The sequence below is a fragment of the Homo sapiens genome, chromosome 5 (genome assembly GCF_000001405.40).
Source record: "Homo sapiens chromosome 5, GRCh38.p14 Primary Assembly".
Taxonomy (NCBI): domain Eukaryota; kingdom Metazoa; phylum Chordata; class Mammalia; order Primates; family Hominidae; genus Homo; species Homo sapiens.
The window spans coordinates 172,361,048-172,381,835 of record NC_000005.10 but is presented as its reverse complement, the minus strand read 5'-3'; the positions used below and the strand labels follow the sequence as shown (position 1 = coordinate 172,381,835).

General features: G+C 47.2%; 1 protein-coding gene across 3 annotated transcripts in view, besides 5 other annotated features; it reads left to right on the top strand.

Annotated features, from left to right (window-relative positions):
* SH3PXD2B (SH3 and PX domains 2B) overlaps positions 1 to 20,788 on the top strand; it is a 129,345-nt gene that overhangs the window by 72,690 nt on the left and 35,867 nt on the right. For all 3 annotated transcript variants that reach the window (NM_001308175.2, NM_001017995.3, XM_017009351.2), the window contains exons 6-7: positions 8,021 to 8,046; positions 18,967 to 19,101. In NM_001308175.2, the coding sequence (NP_001295104.1) occupies positions 8,021 to 8,046; positions 18,967 to 19,101 (161 nt within the window). The remainder of the gene's footprint in view (positions 1 to 8,020; positions 8,047 to 18,966; positions 19,102 to 20,788) is intronic.
* Positions 3,573 to 3,702: an enhancer, noted in NCBI's record as "active region_23637". NCBI's record gives its function as "activates an Ori minimal core promoter by ATAC-STARR-seq in GM12878 lymphoblastoid cells {active_cell/tissue: GM12878}" and the evidence as "EXISTENCE:reporter gene assay evidence [ECO:0000049][PMID:35858748]".
* Positions 4,003 to 4,062: a silencer, noted in NCBI's record as "silent region_16621". NCBI's record gives its function as "represses an Ori minimal core promoter by ATAC-STARR-seq in GM12878 lymphoblastoid cells {active_cell/tissue: GM12878}" and the evidence as "EXISTENCE:reporter gene assay evidence [ECO:0000049][PMID:35858748]".
* Positions 14,337 to 14,626: an enhancer, noted in NCBI's record as "active region_23636". NCBI's record gives its function as "activates an Ori minimal core promoter by ATAC-STARR-seq in GM12878 lymphoblastoid cells {active_cell/tissue: GM12878}" and the evidence as "EXISTENCE:reporter gene assay evidence [ECO:0000049][PMID:35858748]".
* Positions 19,223 to 20,422: an enhancer, noted in NCBI's record as "BRD4-independent group 4 enhancer chr5:171788418-171789617 (GRCh37/hg19 assembly coordinates)". NCBI's record gives its function as "activates an origin of replication core promoter dependent on BRD2, P300/CBP, MED14 and CDK7 cofactors, and independent of BRD4, by STARR-seq in HCT116 cells {active_cell/tissue: HCT116}" and the evidence as "EXISTENCE:reporter gene assay evidence [ECO:0000049][PMID:35650434]".
* Positions 20,007 to 20,236: an enhancer, noted in NCBI's record as "active region_23635". NCBI's record gives its function as "activates an Ori minimal core promoter by ATAC-STARR-seq in GM12878 lymphoblastoid cells {active_cell/tissue: GM12878}" and the evidence as "EXISTENCE:reporter gene assay evidence [ECO:0000049][PMID:35858748]".

The window sequence follows — 20,788 nt, the reverse complement described above, 5'->3', positions numbered from 1 at the left end:
GTGCCACTCCTGTCATCCCATCATACTCTCCACCTGCCCACAGCACTTATCGAGGTGTGTCGGAACTGAGCAGGCTGAGCCCGTGAGGCAGGGGCTGAGCCGTAGATTCATCTAGCTTCTGTCCACAGAGGTGGAGGTGGGTGTGCTCGGGAACTGCCAGGGATGTGAATGCGGGAGCAACCCAAACCAACGAAGACCCCACTGCCGGTGAGCAACGGGGCCGGGATTTCATCCTGACCAGCCAGGCTCCGAAGCTCTCCAAAATGCCCACCACAGCCCTGCCTCCCTGTCACTTCTCCCTGCAGTGGACAGGCCACTTGCCCAGACGCCTGTCGCTACACAGCCAGCAGCCCCAGCCACACAGTGCACACCACATAAAACTCTAGCACCGCCTGCTTACCCGCACTTACGCACCAACACTCTGGCCGGCCCGGGTGCTTTGGGGAAAGCAGGAAGGGATCTGGCTAACGGAGAAATAGCAGTGGGGAAAAGAGATCAGCCCAAGGTGCTGGGAGTGTCCTGGGGTCACAGGAGCAAGAGCGGGCAGAGTTTGGGGTCCGTCTGGGCTCATTCGAGAAGGGCTGAAAAGTACCAGCCAGGCTCTGTTCCAGAAGTAGATGCTGCTGCTCTTGGCGCTGCGTTCGCTGGATGCCCCAGGCAGCAGCCGTAACCAAGGCTGAGTTTGCTGAGCAGCCAGCGTGGCGGGCAGTGTGCCAAGCACTGTATGTGTATCAAGAGAGAAAGACACATGCTCCCTTTTGGAAATGATCTGCTGGAATCACAAAAATTTTTTAAATAGACTTGTGAGGAGAAAGCATGAAAGTGTTTTAACAAGTGAAGTCAGGCCATTTATATTTATACACACACACAGCGACCTCCAAAATCGAGTTCACAGACTTCCGAGTACACCACTCAGGACTGATGGTTTGCTAGCACACAGATGAGTAGACCTAAGTTTCTGCAATAAATATATCCCAATATGCACCATTTCCTGTGACGAGCACGGAGCGAGTAAACACAGCTTCTCATAGTGAGCGCACAGAAGTGCGTGGTTTTGGAGTGAAGGGAGACTGTAAGAGGCAACAGTAAACCTTTGAATCGGATGTCACAAGGGAATGCCTTACCAACACGGGAGCCAAGACACAGTTTCATAAATTTGAAAATAATCATAAAGATACAGAATAATATAAATCTGATAATTTGGGGTGTTTCGCTCGTGCTGGCTAATGTTTTTGTTCTTAGTGTCTTTGGCGTTGGTGTCTGGTAAGCATTTCCCAATTTGTGTCGCCATCATGAAATATGGGGAAATAGTCTCAAAGCACCTTTGTCTCCAGTCCTCCTGGGCTTACAGGATTGAACTGCCATTCAGGCTCATAGCCTCTGGCTTCACTTATAATTTCTACACAAGGTAAATCAAAGGATACAGAGCTTATTGTGTTCCCTTTCCACTTCATTTTCTCACGAAACTGCCCAATAAAAACTGTCATTCCCTCACGCCTGTAATCCCAGCACTTTAGGAGGCCGAGGCGGAAGGATTGCTTGAGCACAGGAGTTCAAGACCAGCCTGAGCAACATAGTCAGATCCTGTCTCTACTAAAAATAAAAAAAAAATTAGCCGGGCATAGTGGTACGTGCCTGTAGTCCCAGATACTCAGGAAGCTGAGATGGGAGAATTGCTCGGGCCAAGGAGGTTGAGGCTGCAGTGAGCAGTGATCGCCGCCACTGCACTCCAGCCTGGGTGACAGAGGGAGCCTCTGTCTCAAAAACAAAAACAAAAAAACCTGTCATTCCTCTCTTACAGATGAGGAAGCTGAGGTTCAGAATAATAAAAGGGACTTTTAACAAAATGATAATGAAAGAGAGGCACAGTTTGGAAGAGGTGAAGGTGAATTTTCCCCAGGTCAGCCTGAGTCTGAACCTAAGCTCAGTCCCACACAAGAGGCTCACTTGATAGAAAAGAGCCTGAGTTTGGAATCTAGTACACCCAGGTTCGAATCCTGCCTCTGCCACTCCTGGGCTTTGTGGCCATGGGCCTCCCTCACTTTGCTTCTGGGCTTCCACTTGCTCTATTGTGAAATGGGAGTAGCTGTACTTTGTAGGGTAATGTTGAGGACTGAGTGACTGCCACAGGGAAAAATTCTAAGACTTTGCCAGCTGCTCAGGAAGTGGCGGCTCATGGTAGTGCCCCTCTTGGAATGACCAGACATTGTTGTCTTTATTCCAGCGCTGTCTCTTAAGAGTTGATCAAGATGCCCAGCCTGATATACCCTCAGCAGGGAAAATTGCCTGACTACTGTCTTAGTCTGTTCCACCTGCTATGACAAAAATATCACAGACTGGGTGGCTTAAACAAAAATGTATTTCTCACTTTCTGGAGGCTGGAAATCCAAGATCAAGGTGCCAGCTATTTCAGTGCCTGGTGAAGGCCACTTCCTGGTTTGCAGATGTGTCCCCACATGGGAGAGAGAGAGAGAGAGAAAGCCAGCTCTCTTATGTCTCTTCTTTTTTTTTTTTTTTTTTTTAATTTTTTGTAGAGACAGGGTCTGGCTATGTTGTCCAGGCTGGTCTGAAACTCCTGGGCTCAAGCGATCCTCTTACCTTTGTGTCTTCTCATAAAGGCGCTAATCCTATCCGGGGGGCTCCACGTTTATGACCTAATTACCCCTAAAGCCTCCATCTCCAAGCACCATCACACTGGGGTTAGTGTTTCAATATATGAATTCAGTTTATAGAAGCCACTTTCCTTTTTTTTTTTTTTTTTTTTTTGAGACAGAGTCTTGCTCTATCACCCAGGTTGGAGTGCAGTGGCGCGATCTTGGCTCACTGCAAGCTCCGCCTCCCAGGTTCACACCATTCTCCTGCCTCAGCCTCCCAAGTAGCTGGGACTACAGGCGCCCGCCACCATGCCCGGCTAATTTTTTGTATTTTTAGTAGAGACGGGGTTTCACCGTGTTAGCCAGGATGGTCTCGATCTCCTGGCCTCGTGATCCACCTGTCTTGGCCTCCCAAAGTGCTGGGATTACAGGCATGAGCCACCATGCCCGGCCTATAGGAGCCACTTTCAAGCTGGGTAAGATTGGGCAGGTTTTTCTGCCCCTTGCCTCAGTCTCCTCTTATGTAAGATGGGCCTGATGACACCTCCCTCACAGAATTGCTTGGGGAATCAAATGAGAAGATGTGGAGAAAATCACTTGGAACTGCTCTACAGACCATATTGCCCAAGGGCAGAGGAAGGAGCAGACAGCAGCCACGAGGGTAGTATTGGCATTGGTGTGCATTCCTTGGGCCCCTGGATTCAATGATAGCCAGATTTTCTTCTACTTTAACTTTGGGGAGCATCTTGGACCACTTAGAGAATCCAAGTTTAACTTTGGGGAGCATCATGGACCACTTAGAGATTCCAACAAAAGCTTTCTTCCCTCTTCCTGGAAGAGCACCTGCAGTTTCAGGAGGTCCTTATTTGTGCAGAATCCTGTACATGGACCTGAGGTGAAGAAGCCCCGCGCTGGCGGCCCTTCCCAGTGTTAGTGCTGGGATGCCTCTGCCCTCTCCCTGGCAAGGGTGGTTGCAGTGGCCCCAGCCTCTGAGCAAGCATCAGACCAACTTAGACACACAGAGGGGAGAGGGCCAGGCCAGGGGCAGCTGCTGTGCTTGGGAGGAGTCTGGTCATCTTCATTCAAGAAGGAAGGACACTCGGGGACAAAGGGTGTGAGCCAGCCCTCGAGAGGAGGTGGGAAGTCCCGGAGGCTGCATGGTGGCTTTGTGGTACTCTCTGGCTTCCTCTCTTTGGTGGCAGAGGCAGCCTCACTAGCTTGCTGGCTTGGGCTTGTAGAAATAGCGCAGGACAGGAGCTCTCAGCCCATGCTGCATCCAGCCAAGGGCACTGGCATTGTTCATTCATCAGCCAGATAGGGAGGGCCTGCTGACTTTCACAGTGGTGGGAAAAGCTGTGTGAACATGTGGGTACACAGGCACCCATGCATACACAAATAGAACATCCACTGAAAATACAAAACACAGCCCAGACTGTACCAAAGAAAGCACCAAGTAACAGCTGAGATAAGCTAGCATGCTTATCTCATATCTTATATACGTCCATCATGCTGGAGTATATGTATCTGGTTCTGAGAGCCTTCCTGAAAAGAAAGGGAAGGTTCAAATCTCTTTGTCCCTTCCCAGCTGTGTGACCTTGGACAAATGACTTGACTTCTCTGAGCTTATTTTCTCATCAGTAAAGCGGGCGTCACTACCCTGGCTCACAGCTTGGTTGTGAGGACTAAGCAAGACCCTGCCCATAAAGGATGGTGTCTGGCACAGGGCAGGTGCTTACCTAGTGATGCCTTCCTGTCTTTAAGCCAGGATTTGAAAAGGAAGGAAGGTGGTTGCCAAGGGCCCAAGGGATGGTTCTGGGGCCACAGCAGGCAGTCTCAGCTGGGTCCTGGTTGTTGGTTTAGGGATGGTGAACTTGAGGGTTATACCCATTGGGGTTGGTCTGTTGGTCAGGATCCTGAAGGTCAACCCATGTTAGGGCTTGACATGGACTTTGGGCGTCTTTCCTAGCCAGCTGGTGCTATTGGAGGAGGGTTTTGGCCGCCATGAGTAGGAAAACTTGGGAACACCCCAAGCATGTCACACCAAGAAGATGACCCACCTGCTTGAGCAAACGCATGCTGTGGCTGCCTGAACCCAAGAGTCCCCTGCCGCCCCCACTCCTCTGCTCTGGCTGGGACAGTGGAAGCAGGGGTGCATGGCTCAGCAGGAGCCCGGGTCTTAAGCCCAGACCACGGCTCAGGTCGCAGGCCTGGATGGCAACTCTGGCAGCTGGTGCTTTCTGTAGAAGCAGCCTGGTGGAACCTTCGTTAGTGTGTCTTGATGCAGCAGCCAAGAGGGGAGCTTCAGTCACTGGATGGTCCAGGTGGTGGTCAGGAGAGTGGGCTCCAGCCAGACTTCCTGGGTTCCAGTCCTGGGCCTGGTACCTCACCTCTCTGGGCGTCAGTATCTTCATCTGCAAAATGGAGTAACCCTCAAAGGGATGTATGCGGACGCAGTGAGGCAGTCCAAGTGTAGCTTTCTGACCAGGACCCAGTGAGTGCCAGTGAAGGTGAGCTAGGACATTCCACTCTGACCCTCACCCTTCTCTGCATGGGCGCTGTGAAGGTCAACCTCAGTGATGTTATCCCTGGAGGGAGGACATCACCACCAGCCCAGCCCGACCTGGCCAGACTCTGCTGCGCCTCCCAGACATACAGGAGGACTGTAGCCCCTGCTCTTGGGCTTGGCTCCCTCACTGCTCTCTCCCAGGTTGCTCTGAAGCATTATTACATGGTGGTTAAAAACCCAGACACATTGAGTAGACATTTCTCCAAAGAAAATGCACAAATAGCCAGTAAGCATATGAGAAGATCCTGGCATCATTATCCATCAGGAAATGCAAATCCAAGCTACAGTGAAATATCATTAGATCCAATTCACACCCACTAGAATGGCTGTAATCAAGAAGATAGATAGGCCAGGCATGGTGGCTCATACGTGTAATCCCAGCAGTTTGAGAGGCCAAAGCGGGCAAATCACCTGAGGTCAGGACTTCAAGACCAGCCTGGCCAACATAGCAAAACCCCGTCTCTACTAAAAATACAAAAAGAGCCAGGCGTGGTGGTGGGCGTCTATAATCCCAGCTACATGGGAGGCTGAGGCAGGAGAATCGTTTGAACCTGGGAGGCAGAGGTTGCAGTGAGCCAAGATCACACCACTGCACTCCAGCCTGCGCAACAGAGTGAGACTCCACCTCAAAAAAAAAAAAAAAAAGAAGATACATGACAAGTATTGTCAAGGATATGAAGAGGTTGGAACCTTCATACGTTGCTGGTGGGAATATAAAATGGTGCAGTCACTGTGGACATCTGTGTGGCACTTCCTCAAGAAGTTAAACCTGGAGTTACCATATGACCTAGCAATTCCCCTCTTAGGTATATAACCAAGAGAAATAAAAATACATGTCCATACAAAAACTTGTACACAGATGTTCACAGAAACATTATTCAAAATAGCCAAAGAGTGGAAACAACCCAAATGTCAAGCAACTTAGTGAGGAGTAAACAAATTGTGGTTTATCCAGACAATGGAGTATTACTTAGCAACAAAAAGGAATGAAGTGCTGATACATACCATAACACAGATGAACCTCAAAGACATTATGCCAAATGAAAGAAGCCAGACACAAAAGGCCACACATTATATGATTCTATTTATATGAAACATCCAGAATAGGCAAATCGTTAGAGACAGCAAGCAGGATTTGTGGTTGCCAAGGCCTGGAGGAGGGGGAATGGGAAGTGACTAATAACAGGTATAGGGCTTCTTTTTGGAGTGATGAAAGTGGTCTGGTGATGGTTGGACAACCTTGTGAATATACTAAAAACCAGTAAATTGTATACCTTAAAAGGATGGGTTTTGTTTGTTTGTTTTGTTTTGTTTTTGAGACAGAGTCTCGGTCTGTCTCCCAGGCTGGAGTGCAGTGGCATGATCTCGGCTCACTGCAGCCTCCACCTCCCAGGTTCAAGCGATTCTCCTGCCTCAGCCTCCTGAGTAGCTGGGATTACAGGTGCCCACCACCACACCTGGCTCATTTTTGTATTTTTAGTAGAGATGAGGTTTTGCCATGTTGGCCAGGCTGGTCTCCAACTCCTGACCTCAGGTGATCTGCCTGCCCCAGGCCTCCCAAAGTGCTGGGATTACAGGCGTGAACCACCGCTCCTGGCCTAAAGGATGAGTTTTATGGTTTGTCAATTATATCTCAGTTTTTTAAAAGTTAGTTCGATCTGGGTTCCAATTCTAGCTGTGCTACTTGCTAGCTGTGTGACCTTGAGCAAATTACTTAGCCTCTCTGTTCCTCGTCTGTAAAATGGGAATAAGAATAATACTTATTTCCTGGGATCGTTGTGAGTATTGAATGAGTGAACTACAAATGCCTAGCAGGGTGCCGGCACTGGGTCTAGCACCATTTAATAATATTAGCTAATGCTACTGTTGCCACAATGTCCATCCCAACCCAACCACTGCAAACTTCATTACTCATGAGATAACTTAAAGTGCTTTGTAAGCCCTAATTTGTAATGCTGCATTTGTGATACAGTTGCTTTCCCCACTCCCCCCACCAAGATGGAGTCTTGCTCTGTCACCCAGGCTAGAGTGCAGTGGCACGATCTCGGCTCACTGCACCTCCACCTCCCAGGTTCAATTGATTCTCCTGTCTCAGCTTCCCGAGTAGCTGGGACCACAGGCATGTGCCATCATGCCCAGCTAATTTTTGTATTTTTAGTAGAGATGGGATTTCACCATGTTGGCCAGGCTGGTCTCAAACTCCTGACCTCAGGTGATCCACCCGCCTCAGCCTCCCAAAGTGCTGGGATTACAGGCGTGAAGCACCATGCCTGGCCGATACAGTTGCATTTATAAACTCTGACACGGGTGACGACGGTAAGGGACTCACTATTCATTATTCCCTGTGAATTCTAGCCCATAGTAGTGTCCCCTCTCACCACTTGGGAGGTGCACTGTGTTCACTGCTGTCCAAACTTCTGCCCAGTTTTAATGTGTTCCCTGTACACTTACTGCCAAGCACTTTCTGCCCCATGTCTATGGCTTAGGGGACCCCAAGAAATGGGGCAGGGACCTCTGCTGTGCCTGATGAGGTAGGCATCAGGCTCAGTGCAGTGTGAGGACCTAACTCCTATTTTCAAACTGCAATCCCCTTCGGCTCCTCCCCAGGGCTTCCAGTCTACAAATAAATGGAGACACTGGTCCCCAGGGCACCAGAGCACTTATCAGGCAAAGGGGGAAAATTAAGAGAAGTTCTTTCTCTTTGAAGAAGTCAGGGTTCCTCTAGTTGGCCTGGATTTTATTCATTCACTGATGATGTTGTGGGGGGTGGAGAATCTCAGTTTCCCGGCAGAATAACTCACGTCAATACATGGCAAGTACTGACTCGTTACTCTTCCCACCCCCTTTCTTTCCTGTACAGGGAGCACATTGGGAAAAAGAAATCTGGTAAGAATATTTTCTATTTTCTTCTCTTCGTTCAGTTTTCGGCAAACTCCAGCCGAGCACCAACTGTGCACCAGGCTCTGGGTTCCATGCTGAGGATACAGTGATGTGGATGGGTGGATGGTTGGCAGGAGGGAGGGAAGGGAAGGAGGGGTGGCTGAACTGGTGGAGGGATGGATGGATGGATGGATGGATGGATGGATGGATGGATGCTTGATTGATTGGTTGATACCCCATCCCATTTCCCAAAAATAGTATTTGAGGTTGTTTCATCCAATATACCAAAAAACTGCCAAGTGGTTGAGACTTGGAGTCTTTCTCAGAGAATGCCTTCATGGAGAAGGGGAGGCAGACTTCTTCCTAGCCATGCTATCGGGAGTTAAATGCCTTTGTTCCACTTTATACAGAGCAATATGGTAGCTGAGAGCTAAGAGCATTCTTCTCAGGTGTGATAAGGGATCGGAAAGGAGGGACCCTGGGTCTTGATGAAGGATCAGAAGGTTTCCATAGAATGAGGGGCATCCCGGGCTGAGGGGATCGCCAGGCACAGGCTGGGAAGCAGGAATGTGCGGTAGATTTGGGCCATGTCCATTTGACATCCTTGGCGCCAGACCCCAGCCCTTTTTGGGCAATGACAGATGCAGCGTCAAGCGACTCCCGTCCCTATTGCCATTCTCCCTAAAATACATTATATTCCCTCCTAATAAGCTTTCCATTTCCTGGATGACACAACTCTTCTCTCAGAAGCAATTATGGAGAAAGAGAAGGTGGGAAATTGCGTATGCACAGAGGAATAATTGAGCTCTCCCCTGGGGTTTATACATTTATATAAACAGTGGCCCAACTTTTTCTTCCTGCCACCCAAGATCATCCTCCACATCTGCAAAGGCCCCGGCCCATACCTTACCTGGAGCCAATGTGGACTTCGGAACTTCCAGAATCCAGCGCTCTTTAATTTCCTAGGGTGCCAGGAGGTTTGAAGGGGTTGATGAGGATCAGGGGTGCGAACAGAGATCCTAGAAGTGAAAAAGGATACCCCCTCTCATGGGCCTCAGTTTCCTTATCTGTAAACTGGGGTTGATATAGCAATCTGCCTTGTGGGATTATTATAGGATTTATAATCATATTTGTAAGGCACCTAGAATAGTGCCTGGCACATTGTCAGTAATGTATGCTTGATGCCGTTTTTATTACTACTACTGTTACTTAAAATACATGGGTGCCCCTGACCAGCAGTAGTATATTAGTTCATTCTCACACTTCTGTAAAGAAATACCTGTGACTGGATAATTTATAAAGAAAAGAGGTTTCATTGGCTCATCGTTCTGCAGGCTGTACGGGAAGCACAGTGGCTTCTGCTCAGCTTCTGGGGAGGCCTCCGGGAGCTTTCCATCATGATGGAAGGCAAAGGTGGAGCAAGCAGTTTTTATATGGCAGGAGCAGGACCAAGAGAGAGAGGGGCAGTGCTACACACTTTTAAACAACCAGATCTCCTGAGAACTCCATCTCGAGACAGCACCAAAGGGATGGAGCTGAACCATTCATGAAGGACCCACCCCCATGATCCAATCACCTCCCACCAGCCCCCACCTCCAACATTGGGGATTACAGTTCGACATGAGATTTGGGTGGGGACGCAGATCCAAACCATATCAAGTAGAAATTCCAAATTCAAAAGCTCCAGTACCTTTGCTGCCCCTGGGTACGGGCCCTGTGGTCAACTTCACAGGCCCCACAGTCATTCTCTCTGCCTCAGGGAATGGCGTCGAGAATTAACTTCAGCCTTTTCCCAACCAGTCCATTTATAGCTCCTCTTTCTAGTTTAATAGGTACTGGCCAGAGCCATGGCATCCTGCTAAAGCTGCAAATAGTTCCCGAGCCCCGGGGATAATTATATGTTTCTCAGAAAAGAGCAGAGAGAAGAGGAGCTGCCACTCTTGGGCTGGCAGAGTTTCTGGTTTCGAGTATGCAGAGACTTTCCCTAGAAGGAATGGGTGTGGGAGGGTAGAGAAGAGAGGAAAGAGACAGCTCTGGTTTGTGACAAACACAAATGTCCAGTCGGAACGGGCTTGATGAGGGGATTTGTCTGGAAAAGGGAGAAAAAGCTCTAATTTGTGGTGACTGCTGTTACGTCATTCACCTGAAATGATGGGGATGGATTTATTTATAGTTCAACTGGTTGGAAAATAGCATCTTTCTTCATTCAAACTAAGAATCCAAGCTGGGATTAGCCTTATATCTTATGTGACCTTTGAACACTTCCTTTATTTTAGAATAAGCCTTTTGGATTGAATTTTGAAGGGATCTAACATTGACAGACTAACTCCTGAGATTTCTACACCAAAACTCTGCTTTGGAGAAGGCTTATCTGCCTCTGGCGTTTCCCAGTCATGGCTGGCTGGCTGGCTCCTACAGACTTTGGCTAATGTGGTCTCAAATTCTGCTCATCCTGCAGAAAATGAATCTTCTCACTAAAAGTCAAGAGATCATGCAATTATTTGAGGAACATATTTCTTCCTGATTTTTCTAACCTTTACTTAAAAGCATTCTTTGTTTACTGACTCTTTCAGCAAGATTGACAGTATAGTGAATTTTTGGAAGGAAAATCCCCTTTACCCTTCATCTTAAAAATTCAAGACATGTCATCATGAAGAAAAAATATGCCCAAACAGAAAACTTCTGTGGTAGATAAGGCACTGTACCTCTTGAGAGTATTTTATAACACTTGATAATAAAAATCACCCTTCCAATGTCAGACTTTCCTCTTTCTCATCCCCTCTTCTCTCATATTTCCTGCTGGGCCACAAAAGTGATAATCCTTGCCTAGGAATCCTTTGATTTCACACTTGGCAACTCCTAGAATTTAGCTTTAGTTGCCTGCCGCAACATTTAGAGATTGCAATTATTATGGCATTATAGAGCTTGGCTGCAATATCACGCTCCACCAGTAGGTGTCTTCACTTAACAACTAAACGTCCTGAAGCCTAAGTGGAGACTCCTGGTAGATCAAATGAATGAACCTTTTTTCATCAGTTTCAATAAGTTGAGTGCTCTGAGTGAAATGAAGCAACTTGCTCTGAAAGAACTGGTGCTGAAAAAGCAACTCCATGCATTCTCTGAACCACTTCATGGCAGAGAACTACAGTCTAAGCTACTGCCATGGAAAAACAGCAAGGAGATTGTAGTCTTGGACCTGGCCCCAGAGCAAGTCTTGGAGGAAGTGCCAGCCCTGAGCCCTGTGCCACTCCGGGGTGTGCTCCAGCCAACCCAGAGTCACAGCCCAGAGCGCTCTCCCCTCCTCATTTCCTGGCTCTCTGTCTTGCTTATAGCAAATCTCATGATTCCTTGGTTCTGTCATTCTGTCACTGCTCATAGTTTTGCCAAATCCCATTGGCACACTGGTTAGGAGGGTTAGTGCAGAAACGCCCAGCGCATTCATCAGAGTCCTGAAAATTGTATGTGGTGCAACTGTGCCACCATCAGGTGTTAAAACTGGGTGGCAAAAGTTGAGCTTCTTGGACAGAGTAAACCTGACTTAACTGGATCTTCACTTAACTGAAGCCTTCTTTCTACTTATAGTCAAGAAGGAGTCATCTTTAATTTATAAGATTATAAATTTATAAGGATGCCTGGAGCCTTGTGTAGAGGAGGAAGGGTTTCTAGAAGTCTTCATTTATCCTGTGTTCATTCATCCCACAAATGTCTGTTGTACACCTGTGCTGGATGCTGAATGAACAAGACAGGTACAGTTATTCATTCAATATTTATTTAATGTATAATTAATTTATAATTTATTTAAACACCTACTAGGTGCTTAATAAATACTAAATGAGTAACTATCTGTACCTGGTAGTGCTCTGGGTCCCCAGGTGGAAACCATTCTCACAGTCTGGTAGCAAAGAGACCTGTATAAACAAAACGAAATGTGAAGGAAGGCATTTGAATGCTCCCTGAGATAGGAAGTCATTAAAGCTGGGGCGGGGTGGGGAGGGGTTGGGGTTTTTTTGTTAGTTTGTTTGTTTTTTGAGATGAAGTCTCACTCTGTTGCCCAAGCTGGAGTTCAGTGGTGCGATCTCGGCTCACTGCAACCTCCACCTCCCGGGTTCAAGCAATTCTTCTGCCTCAGCCTCCCGAGTAGCTGGGACTACAGGCACACACCACCATGCCTGGCTAATTTTTGCATGTTTAGTACAGACGGGATTTCATTATGTTGGCCAGGCTGGTCTCAAACTCCTGACCTCATGATCCGCCCACCTCGGCCTCCCAAAGTGCTGGGATTACAGGCGTGAGCCACTGCGCCCGGCAAAGCTGAGTTTTAAACTGTTCCTTCCTTCATTCAGACACTTACTGAGCCCTAGTAAGAAGCCACCCATGTTCTAGGCCAGGGGTTGACAAACTTTCTCTAAAGGGTCAGACAGTGAATATGTTAGCCTTTATAGGCCACATACAGTCTCTATCACTACTACCACCAATAATAATAATAATTCTTTCTCATTTTCTCATTCCTCTTCTCCTTCTTTACAGCTCTTAAAAAATATTTAAAAAAAAAACAAAACAAACAAAACAAAACAAAACAAAAAAAATACATAAAAACATTCAACCAGGCGTGGTGGTTTACACCTGTAATCCCAGCAGTTTGGGAGGCCAAGGTGGGCAGATCACCTGAGGTCAGGAGTTCGAGACCAGCCTGGCAAGCATGGCGAAACCCTGTCTCTACTAAAAATACAAAAATTAGCCAGGCATGGTGGTGCATGCCTGTAATCCCACCTACTCAGGAGGCTGAGGCAGGAGAATTGCTTGAACCCAGGAGGCAGTGGTTGCAGTGAACCGAGATTGCACCATTGTACTCCAGCCTGGGCAACAAGAGCAAAACTCCGTCTCAAAAATATATATATATATATTTTTTTTTATATTATATATTTAAAAACATATATATATACTATATATTATGTATTATAAAAATGTATTTTATATATTTAATATACATATTATATATGTGTATTATATATTAAATATATATGTATATTATATATTAAATATATATATATTACATATATTAAATATATATTTTATATATATATAATATATATATATTTTATATATATAACATATATATTTTATATATATATAATATATATATTTTATATATATAACATATATATTATATATATATATAACATATATATTATATATATAACATATTTTATATATATATATAACATATTTTATATATATATAATATATATATATTTTATATATATATATAATATATATATATTTTATATATATATATATAATATATATATATTTTATATATATATATAATATATATATATATAAGCATTCTTAGCTCCCCTTGCACCAAAACATATCACAGGCCTACGAGCCGTTAGGCAGTATGAATATAGCAGTGAACAAGAGACTGTCCCTGCCCTTGTGGCACTTCTATTCTAGAGTAGAAAAGTAAACAAGGAGACAAGTAAATATACAGAACCTATGACAGTTTTTGAAAGCACTGTGGAAGAAATAAAACTGAATGAGGCAGTGCAAGGCAGGCAGGGAAGGTCTCATTGATAAGATGCCACTTGAGCAGGAACCTGAAGGAAAGGAGAGCAAAGGCTATGCACATATCTGGAGAAGACTGTCCCTAGCAGAGGGAACAGCAAATGCAAAATTCCCTGCAGTAGAAACAGGCTTTGCATGAGAAGGACTGGCAAGGATGCTACTGGTCAGAGCCTAGCAACCAAAGATATAAGTGAATTAGGTTTGACTGCAAGTAGCAGAAAATCCAAAATAATTGTGACTTAAACAATTGAACTTTTTTCTTCTTAGTTCAAATCCCAAAGATAGTCCAGGAGTGATAGATTGTTCAATGGTAGCAGGGACCCAGGCCCCCATCTTGCTGCTCTGCCATGCAACACCAGCATTCCCAAGGTTGCTTATGACCCAAGATGGCTGCTGCAGCACCAGCCATCACATTGACATTTCAACCAGTAGTAATGAGGAAAGGGTGATGCAGAGCCAGTTACCTCCTGTAAGGACTCTTACCAAGCACATGTGCACAATTCCACACTTATATCCCATTGTCTGGGGCTTCGTTACATGACCACTCCCAACTATAAAGGAGTCTTATTCCAAGTGGCCCTGTGCCCTGCCAAAACTCAGGAATTCTATTACTATAGAAGAAATAGAGGATGGGGGATAAGTAACCATCTGCGCCACATTGGGGAGAGTGAAGGAGATAAGGTCTAATAAGGTATCAAAAGGCCAGGCGCAGTGGCTCACAACTGTAATCCCAGCACTTTGGGAGGCTGAGGCAAGTGGATTGGTTGAGCCCAGGAGTTCAAGACCAGTCCGGGCAACATGGTGAAACCCCAAATCTATTTGAAAAAAAAAAAAAAAACTGATGAGAGGGGGATTAGACAGGGCCCTGTAGGCCACAGAGGGTTTTCACAAGTGAGGTAAGGACCATCACAGGGACTTCACCTTTGAGAAACATGTTCTGACACATCTTTTAAAAGGATCACTCTAGCTGCTATATTGAAAACAGATGGCAGCCGGGCGCAGTGGCTCAAGCCTGTAATCCCAGCACTTTGGGAGGCCGAGGCAGGCGGATCACTTGAGGTCAAGAGTTCGAGACCAGCCTGGCCAACATGGGTGAGACCCCATCTCTACTAAAAATACGAAAATTAGCTGTGTGTGGTGGTGCATGCCTGTAGTCCCAGTTACTCGGGAGGCTGAGGCGAGAGAATCGCCTGAGCCCTGGGGGCAGAGGTTGCAGTGAGCTGAGATCGTGCCACTGTACTCCAGCCTGGGCGATGGGGCAAGACTCTGTCCCCAAAAAAAAAAAAAAAAAAAAATGGCCGGGCACGATGGCTCACACCTATAATCCCAGCACTTTGGGAGGCCACAGCGGGCAGATCTCCAGGTCAGGAGATCAAGACCACCCTTGCCAACATGGTGAAACCCCATCTCTACTAAAATACAAAAAAATTAGCCAGGTGTGGTGGCATGTGCCTGTAGTCCCAGCTACTCAGGAGGCTGAGGCAGGAGAATCACTTGCACCCGGGAGGCAGAGAGTGCAGTGAGCCGAGATTGCACCGCTGCACTTCAGCCTGGCAACAGAGCAAGACTTCGTCTCAAAAAAATAAATAAATAAAATAAAATAAAATAAATAAATAAATAAATTGCAGGGTCAAGGCTGGTACCAGGGACCAGTTAGGAGGCTAAGAATAGGTGGTTCCCACTGAAATAAGAAGGAGAGGTTGAGACATCCCAGGCAGAGAAAATAGCCTCTGCAAAGGCACCTTTGTGCTTTGCAGGTGCACCAGGGATGAAGTGGCCAAAAGACAAGATCAGAAGGCAAGCCGAGCCCATGGCAGGTGCTGAGCAGGGAGTGGCATGATCAGAGTAGCATTTTTGAGCAAGCATTCTGGCTGCTGTATGGAGGGCAGACTGGAGGGGCAGGACAGAGACCAGTTACAGGATCTGCCTCCCCTCCCCTCCCCTGGCCCCAGGGAAGCCCCTCTCAGACCCTGGGGCAGAGGGTGTGGCTCCATGAGGACATGGTGAAGCCAGGTGATGGAGCACTGCACAGAAAATCTGTGTGAAACCTGCGGCTCTGTGAGGAAATCCTCACAGCCACTCCCTGACCCCACACCAGCCAACGACTGCCTGCCTGGAAGACGTGGGCATGTCTCTTTGAGCATTAACCTGGGCAGCAGGTGCAGGCACCAACCTGGCTGTGAAGTGGGTGCTTTTTCTCTTTCCTTTCCAGTTCTTTCTGTCAAGCTGAGGCACAGGGAAACACACTTACCTGGTCCAGCTCACCTGAGGGCCCAGACAGAAGGGAAACTGCAATCCTGGGGTTTTGAGCCCTCGGGCAGGCTGTATCCTGGGGTAGATGCTGGATTGGATTCAGAGAAGAGTGAGTCTAGTGACCAGGACACAGGTAGTCAAGAATCTTCAAAAGCCAGCATCCTACATTCATTCATTCACTGGACAGCACCTTCAAAGAGCTAGTAAGTGCCAGGTGGTTCAGAGGCAGTCAAGGCCACTGCCCTCAAGAAGCTCATTGTTAATGGGGCCAGCAGGAAGGGGACGTGAAGCAGCCCACTCTCAGGCCACTGCTCACGTGGCTGGGCTGGCTTGGGGGAACTGTCATCTTGAGTCTAGAAAAAGTCGGCCCTGCCACCTGACCTCGGGGGAAGTGGAGGATGAGGAGAGGGCTGGAAATAGCAGACAAGCCTTGAGACACCCAGAGATGTCAGACTGAGCCTGACCAGGCCCTCGGGGAAGGAGAGCCCGCAGGCCTCAGACCACCCTTCTTCCTCCGTCATCTTATCTTTTCTCACTGTCGTGCCCCAACACCCAGAAGAGCCTGGAGTCAAGTGGACAGAGTCCAGCTTTGTCCATAGCCAGCTGTGTGATCCAGAGAAAGTCACTTAACATCTCTGAGCCTCTGTGTTCCTGCCCACAAAATGGGGGTGGCAGTACCCAGCTTGCAGGGCAGCTGTGTTGGGATGGTTTCTGTGCTGTCTGTAGGCTGTGATAGACCCTCATTGAGGCTGCTTCCTGCCCGATCTTCTGAACCATCAGCCTGCATCTTCTGTTTCTTTCCTGCTCTCTCTTCCTCTGTTCTCCTCATGCTTTCTCTATGCAGAGTGCAAGCAGCAGGGTTGTCCCCAGCCCAAAGGCCCTCCCATTTCCCTGTTACCCTCAGGCAGGGAGGGGGAGTGGCCAGAGCATGGGCACAGAGCCAAGAAGCAGTACCCTTCACCCAGCTACAATGCCCTATTCTGCTTTTTCACATCAAAAATCCAGACCTCATGGTTCTAACAAGGGGCTTCTGTGCTGCTTCTGGTTGCAGAGGCTGGAGTGCAGTGGTGTGCTCGTGGATGCTTAACTACCAGCTCTCCAGTGGAGAAGCCCTGCTTTGTAGCATTTGCCAATTTCTGTGGTGTAAATACTCCCACCATGGCCAATTTCGAGCTACCAACAAGACACCACCCAACAGAGTGGGGAGAGATGCACAAAGTCAGCTCTGTGCGCTGGCTGTCCCACACTGCTCCACAATTGGGTGGTTTTGGTTTTGTTTGGTTTTTTTGGTTTTTTTGGGCGGGGAGCGGAGGACGGAGTTTTGTTCTGTCACCCAGGCTGGAGTGCAGTGGTGCGATCTCAGGTCACTGCAACCTCTGCCTCCCGGGTTCAAGCGATTCTCATGGCTCAGCCTCCTGAGTAGCTGGGACTACAGGCGCGTGCCAGCATGCCCAGCTCCTTTTTGTATTTTTAGTAGAGACGGGGTTTCGCTATGTTGGCCAGGCTGGTCTTGAACTCCTGACCTCAGGTGATCCACCCTCCTTGGCTTCCCAAAGCGCTGGGATTACAGACATGAGCCACCACGCCTGGCCAATTGGGTGTATTTTGACACAAAAATGTGGGGTTTCCTGGATATTTTAATGATTTATAGGAACAATAGGAAAGACTATTTTGAATCAGGACTTTTAGAATACCAGGGCCCTCCTGTGACCGCAAATGTCTGGCTGCCCTTCCCCCACATTTAGCCTGCTGCTCTAAAAGTCACCCAGCTGCCCGCTTCTCTCTGGGGTCTCTGAACTCAGATGTCCTTGCTATTTAAATCACCTGTATTCTGCATTATCTTTTCATTTATTTGTCAGATATGTCTTAGCGCTTAACCAGGGCCACACGACTCCCAGGAAGCTGTCCACCCTGAATCCCATGGCACAGCCTCCCTGGAGCACCTCTCTACTTCGTTCCCTCCTACTGCCACTGCCCTGGTTCAGGCCACCTTCGCCTCTTCCTTGACATCTTCATGTCTACCAGCTAGTCTCCTGCTTTCTTTCTTGCCAACCTCTGATCCATTCTCCACATGGCAGCCAGAATTATCTTTTTAAAGATGTAACTCTTGTCATTCCTTTCTCAAAGCCCTTAATTGACTTTCTACTTCAAGGTTAAAAGCAACCCAACTTCTTTACTTAGCCCCAAAGGCCCTGCCTGATCTGACCCATGCTTGCCTCGGGGACCTCACTCAGAACCACTCTTTCCATGCACTTCCTCACCTAGCCTCCTTCCAGTCCCGAAGACCCCAAGTCCTTTCCCATCTCAGAGTGTGCCTACGCTGCTCTTCCCCCATTCTCTTCATGACCCCTCCTCCTCTCTCGGGTCCCTGCGTTATGTCACCTCCTTAGGGAGGTCTTGCCAGCCACCCCGTTAAATGTAGCATTGTCTTTCCCCTTCATTCTCTGTCCCAGCATCCTGGTTGTTTCCATCAATTTTTCATAAACTAACGCTTACATAATTCTATATCTTATTAATTATATATACTTATGTACATGTCTCTCTCTGTGACTAGATTGAGTTACTTGAGGCTGGGAGTCACAGCTGTTTTATTCACCGTTGTACTCTTTAGAGTATCTGGAACATCACTGGTGATTTCATAGATTAATAGGCGAGTGATTTTGGATGGGTGATGAGATGGTTGATGGATGATGGTGTTTAATTTGATATATCATGAGTGGATAGATGGTTGAATGGACGGCAGATAGATGAATGTTTGGATGGATGGATAATGGAGGATGGATGGATGGATGGATGGACAGATGGATGGAGGGATGGCTAAGTATGAATGAATGAGCTTTCCCTCTAGGCTGTCAACATCTTCAGAGCAGGTACCATATCTTAATCAACTCTGAACCCCCAGTGCCTGCAAATAGCACTTGGTCAATTTTGGTGGTTGAGTAAGCACATGAATAGAACAATGAATGGATGAAGTCACCCTTGAGATGAGTCCTGTAACTGCTGCTTTTTTATTTGGAACGTCCTCTTGACCCGCCCTACTGCTCTGACTCCTGCTCTTTCATGCATGAGTGGTGGCCAGATGTCATGTCTGTTTCCTATCCACAGGGGGTGACCAAACCTCAGTGGACCCCATGGTCCTGGAGCAGTATGTGGTGGTAGCCAACTACCAGAAGCAGGAGAGTTCGGAGATCAGCCTCAGCGTGGGGCAGGTGGTGGACATCATCGAGAAGAATGAGTCAGGTGGGGACCTAGACCATCTCCCTCTCCCACTACCCTGCCACCAAGCCCCTGGGACATGAAACATTTGGAAACTCAGAAACTGAAATGGCCAGTCCAGACTGGCCAGTTCCCATAGATCCTGCTGAGGGTCTCCTAGAAAGAGGCCCCTGTTTGATCACTGTGCTTGAATATCCCACCTGGCCACCACTCACCATTATCCTTTTGGCTCAGATGGTACCGATTTGTTCTGACGTTGACATTTTATAAACATTCCTTCTGGTTCTAAAGCACTGGCAGACAAAGTCCAGCATTCACTGGAAATGTGCTCTGTTGATTTGCCTTTGCTTACCCATGGGAGTCTCCGAGAAGGCTCCATTGCTCTGGGCTCTAATGGGACAGGCGCATTCCCTGTCTCCTTAGCCTACCTGCCCATCACAGGGACCACTGGTCATGAACACTGGCTGGGTCTGGGACAGAATGTGGTATGACTGAGACACTTAACCTGGATTTCCATCAGAATTCCACATTTCACAGTGGTTCAGTGCCTTCATTCTCTGACTGTTCGTTTTCTTATCTACAAAATAAAAACTTCTGCTCTTAAGAGTGATTGTAAAGATTAAGTGAGATAAGATACAAAGAGTGCTTAAACTTGTGCTTAGCACACAGTAGATGCTCAAAAAAATGTGGGTTTCCTTCCCGTTTGCCTTCCTTAGCTACAAAGCAGCCATTGCACCCCATTGAAGGCAAAGAGCAGGAAATAAGCAGATCCTCCCTGGGAAAATGCAGTGGAAACGACTGGGTTTGTTGTGGCTAACATGTGACGTTAGCTAATCCTATCATTAGTGGGTCAGTCTCTGTGACAGCCCAATGGCGAGTTGAGGTCCAAAGAAGAGGAGAAAGATGATGTTTCTAACATCATCTGGATGGTGGTGGCATTAGTCACGAGACCAGCGCCAGCCAGCCAAACTTCCTTGGTTACTCAACATAGGAGTTGCCATCCCTGCTTCACAGCTGATGCAACCATGACTCCAAATAACTCAGTCACTCACCCCACATCTCACAACAGCCTGCAGAGCCAGAATTCGAAACCAACTCCAGCAGCCCCTAAGGCCATGTGACTTTCCAGTTCCTGAGAATGAGTGTGTGCAGATTGTATGATGTGGCTAGGACACAACCATGGGGACGTAAAGACAGGAGCACCCACTGCCCTGGGCCCCCAGCTTGCAGGAAGTCAGGAAGCTTGGGTGACTGGGAAGAAGTGTGGGGGCCAGGAAGAGTGTTGGTATGTCCAGAGGGCAGCAAGAAGAAGGGAGAGGGTGAGTGGGTACATCTTCAAGTAGCCAACACACTGATGACATTTATTTTTAATTATATTGTACTTATCCAAGTAATACGTGGATACATTATTCTTAGAAGATTAATGATGAAACTAAAATCTATTTTTTCTACCAGCTTCAACCCTAACCCCCTTTCTGAACCCTAGATAGCCCTTCTATCCATTAGGTATGAATCTTTCTTGAAAATGTTATATACACATGTGTGTATGTGTGCGTGTGTGTACGTGTGAACATATACACTCACACATACACAGGTACTCATTCATACATATATACTTGTACATATACAAACACATCATATTTTGTATGTATATATATGTATTTTTGTGGGTTTTTTAAAAACCCAATGGTGTCATTGTATACATTTTGAT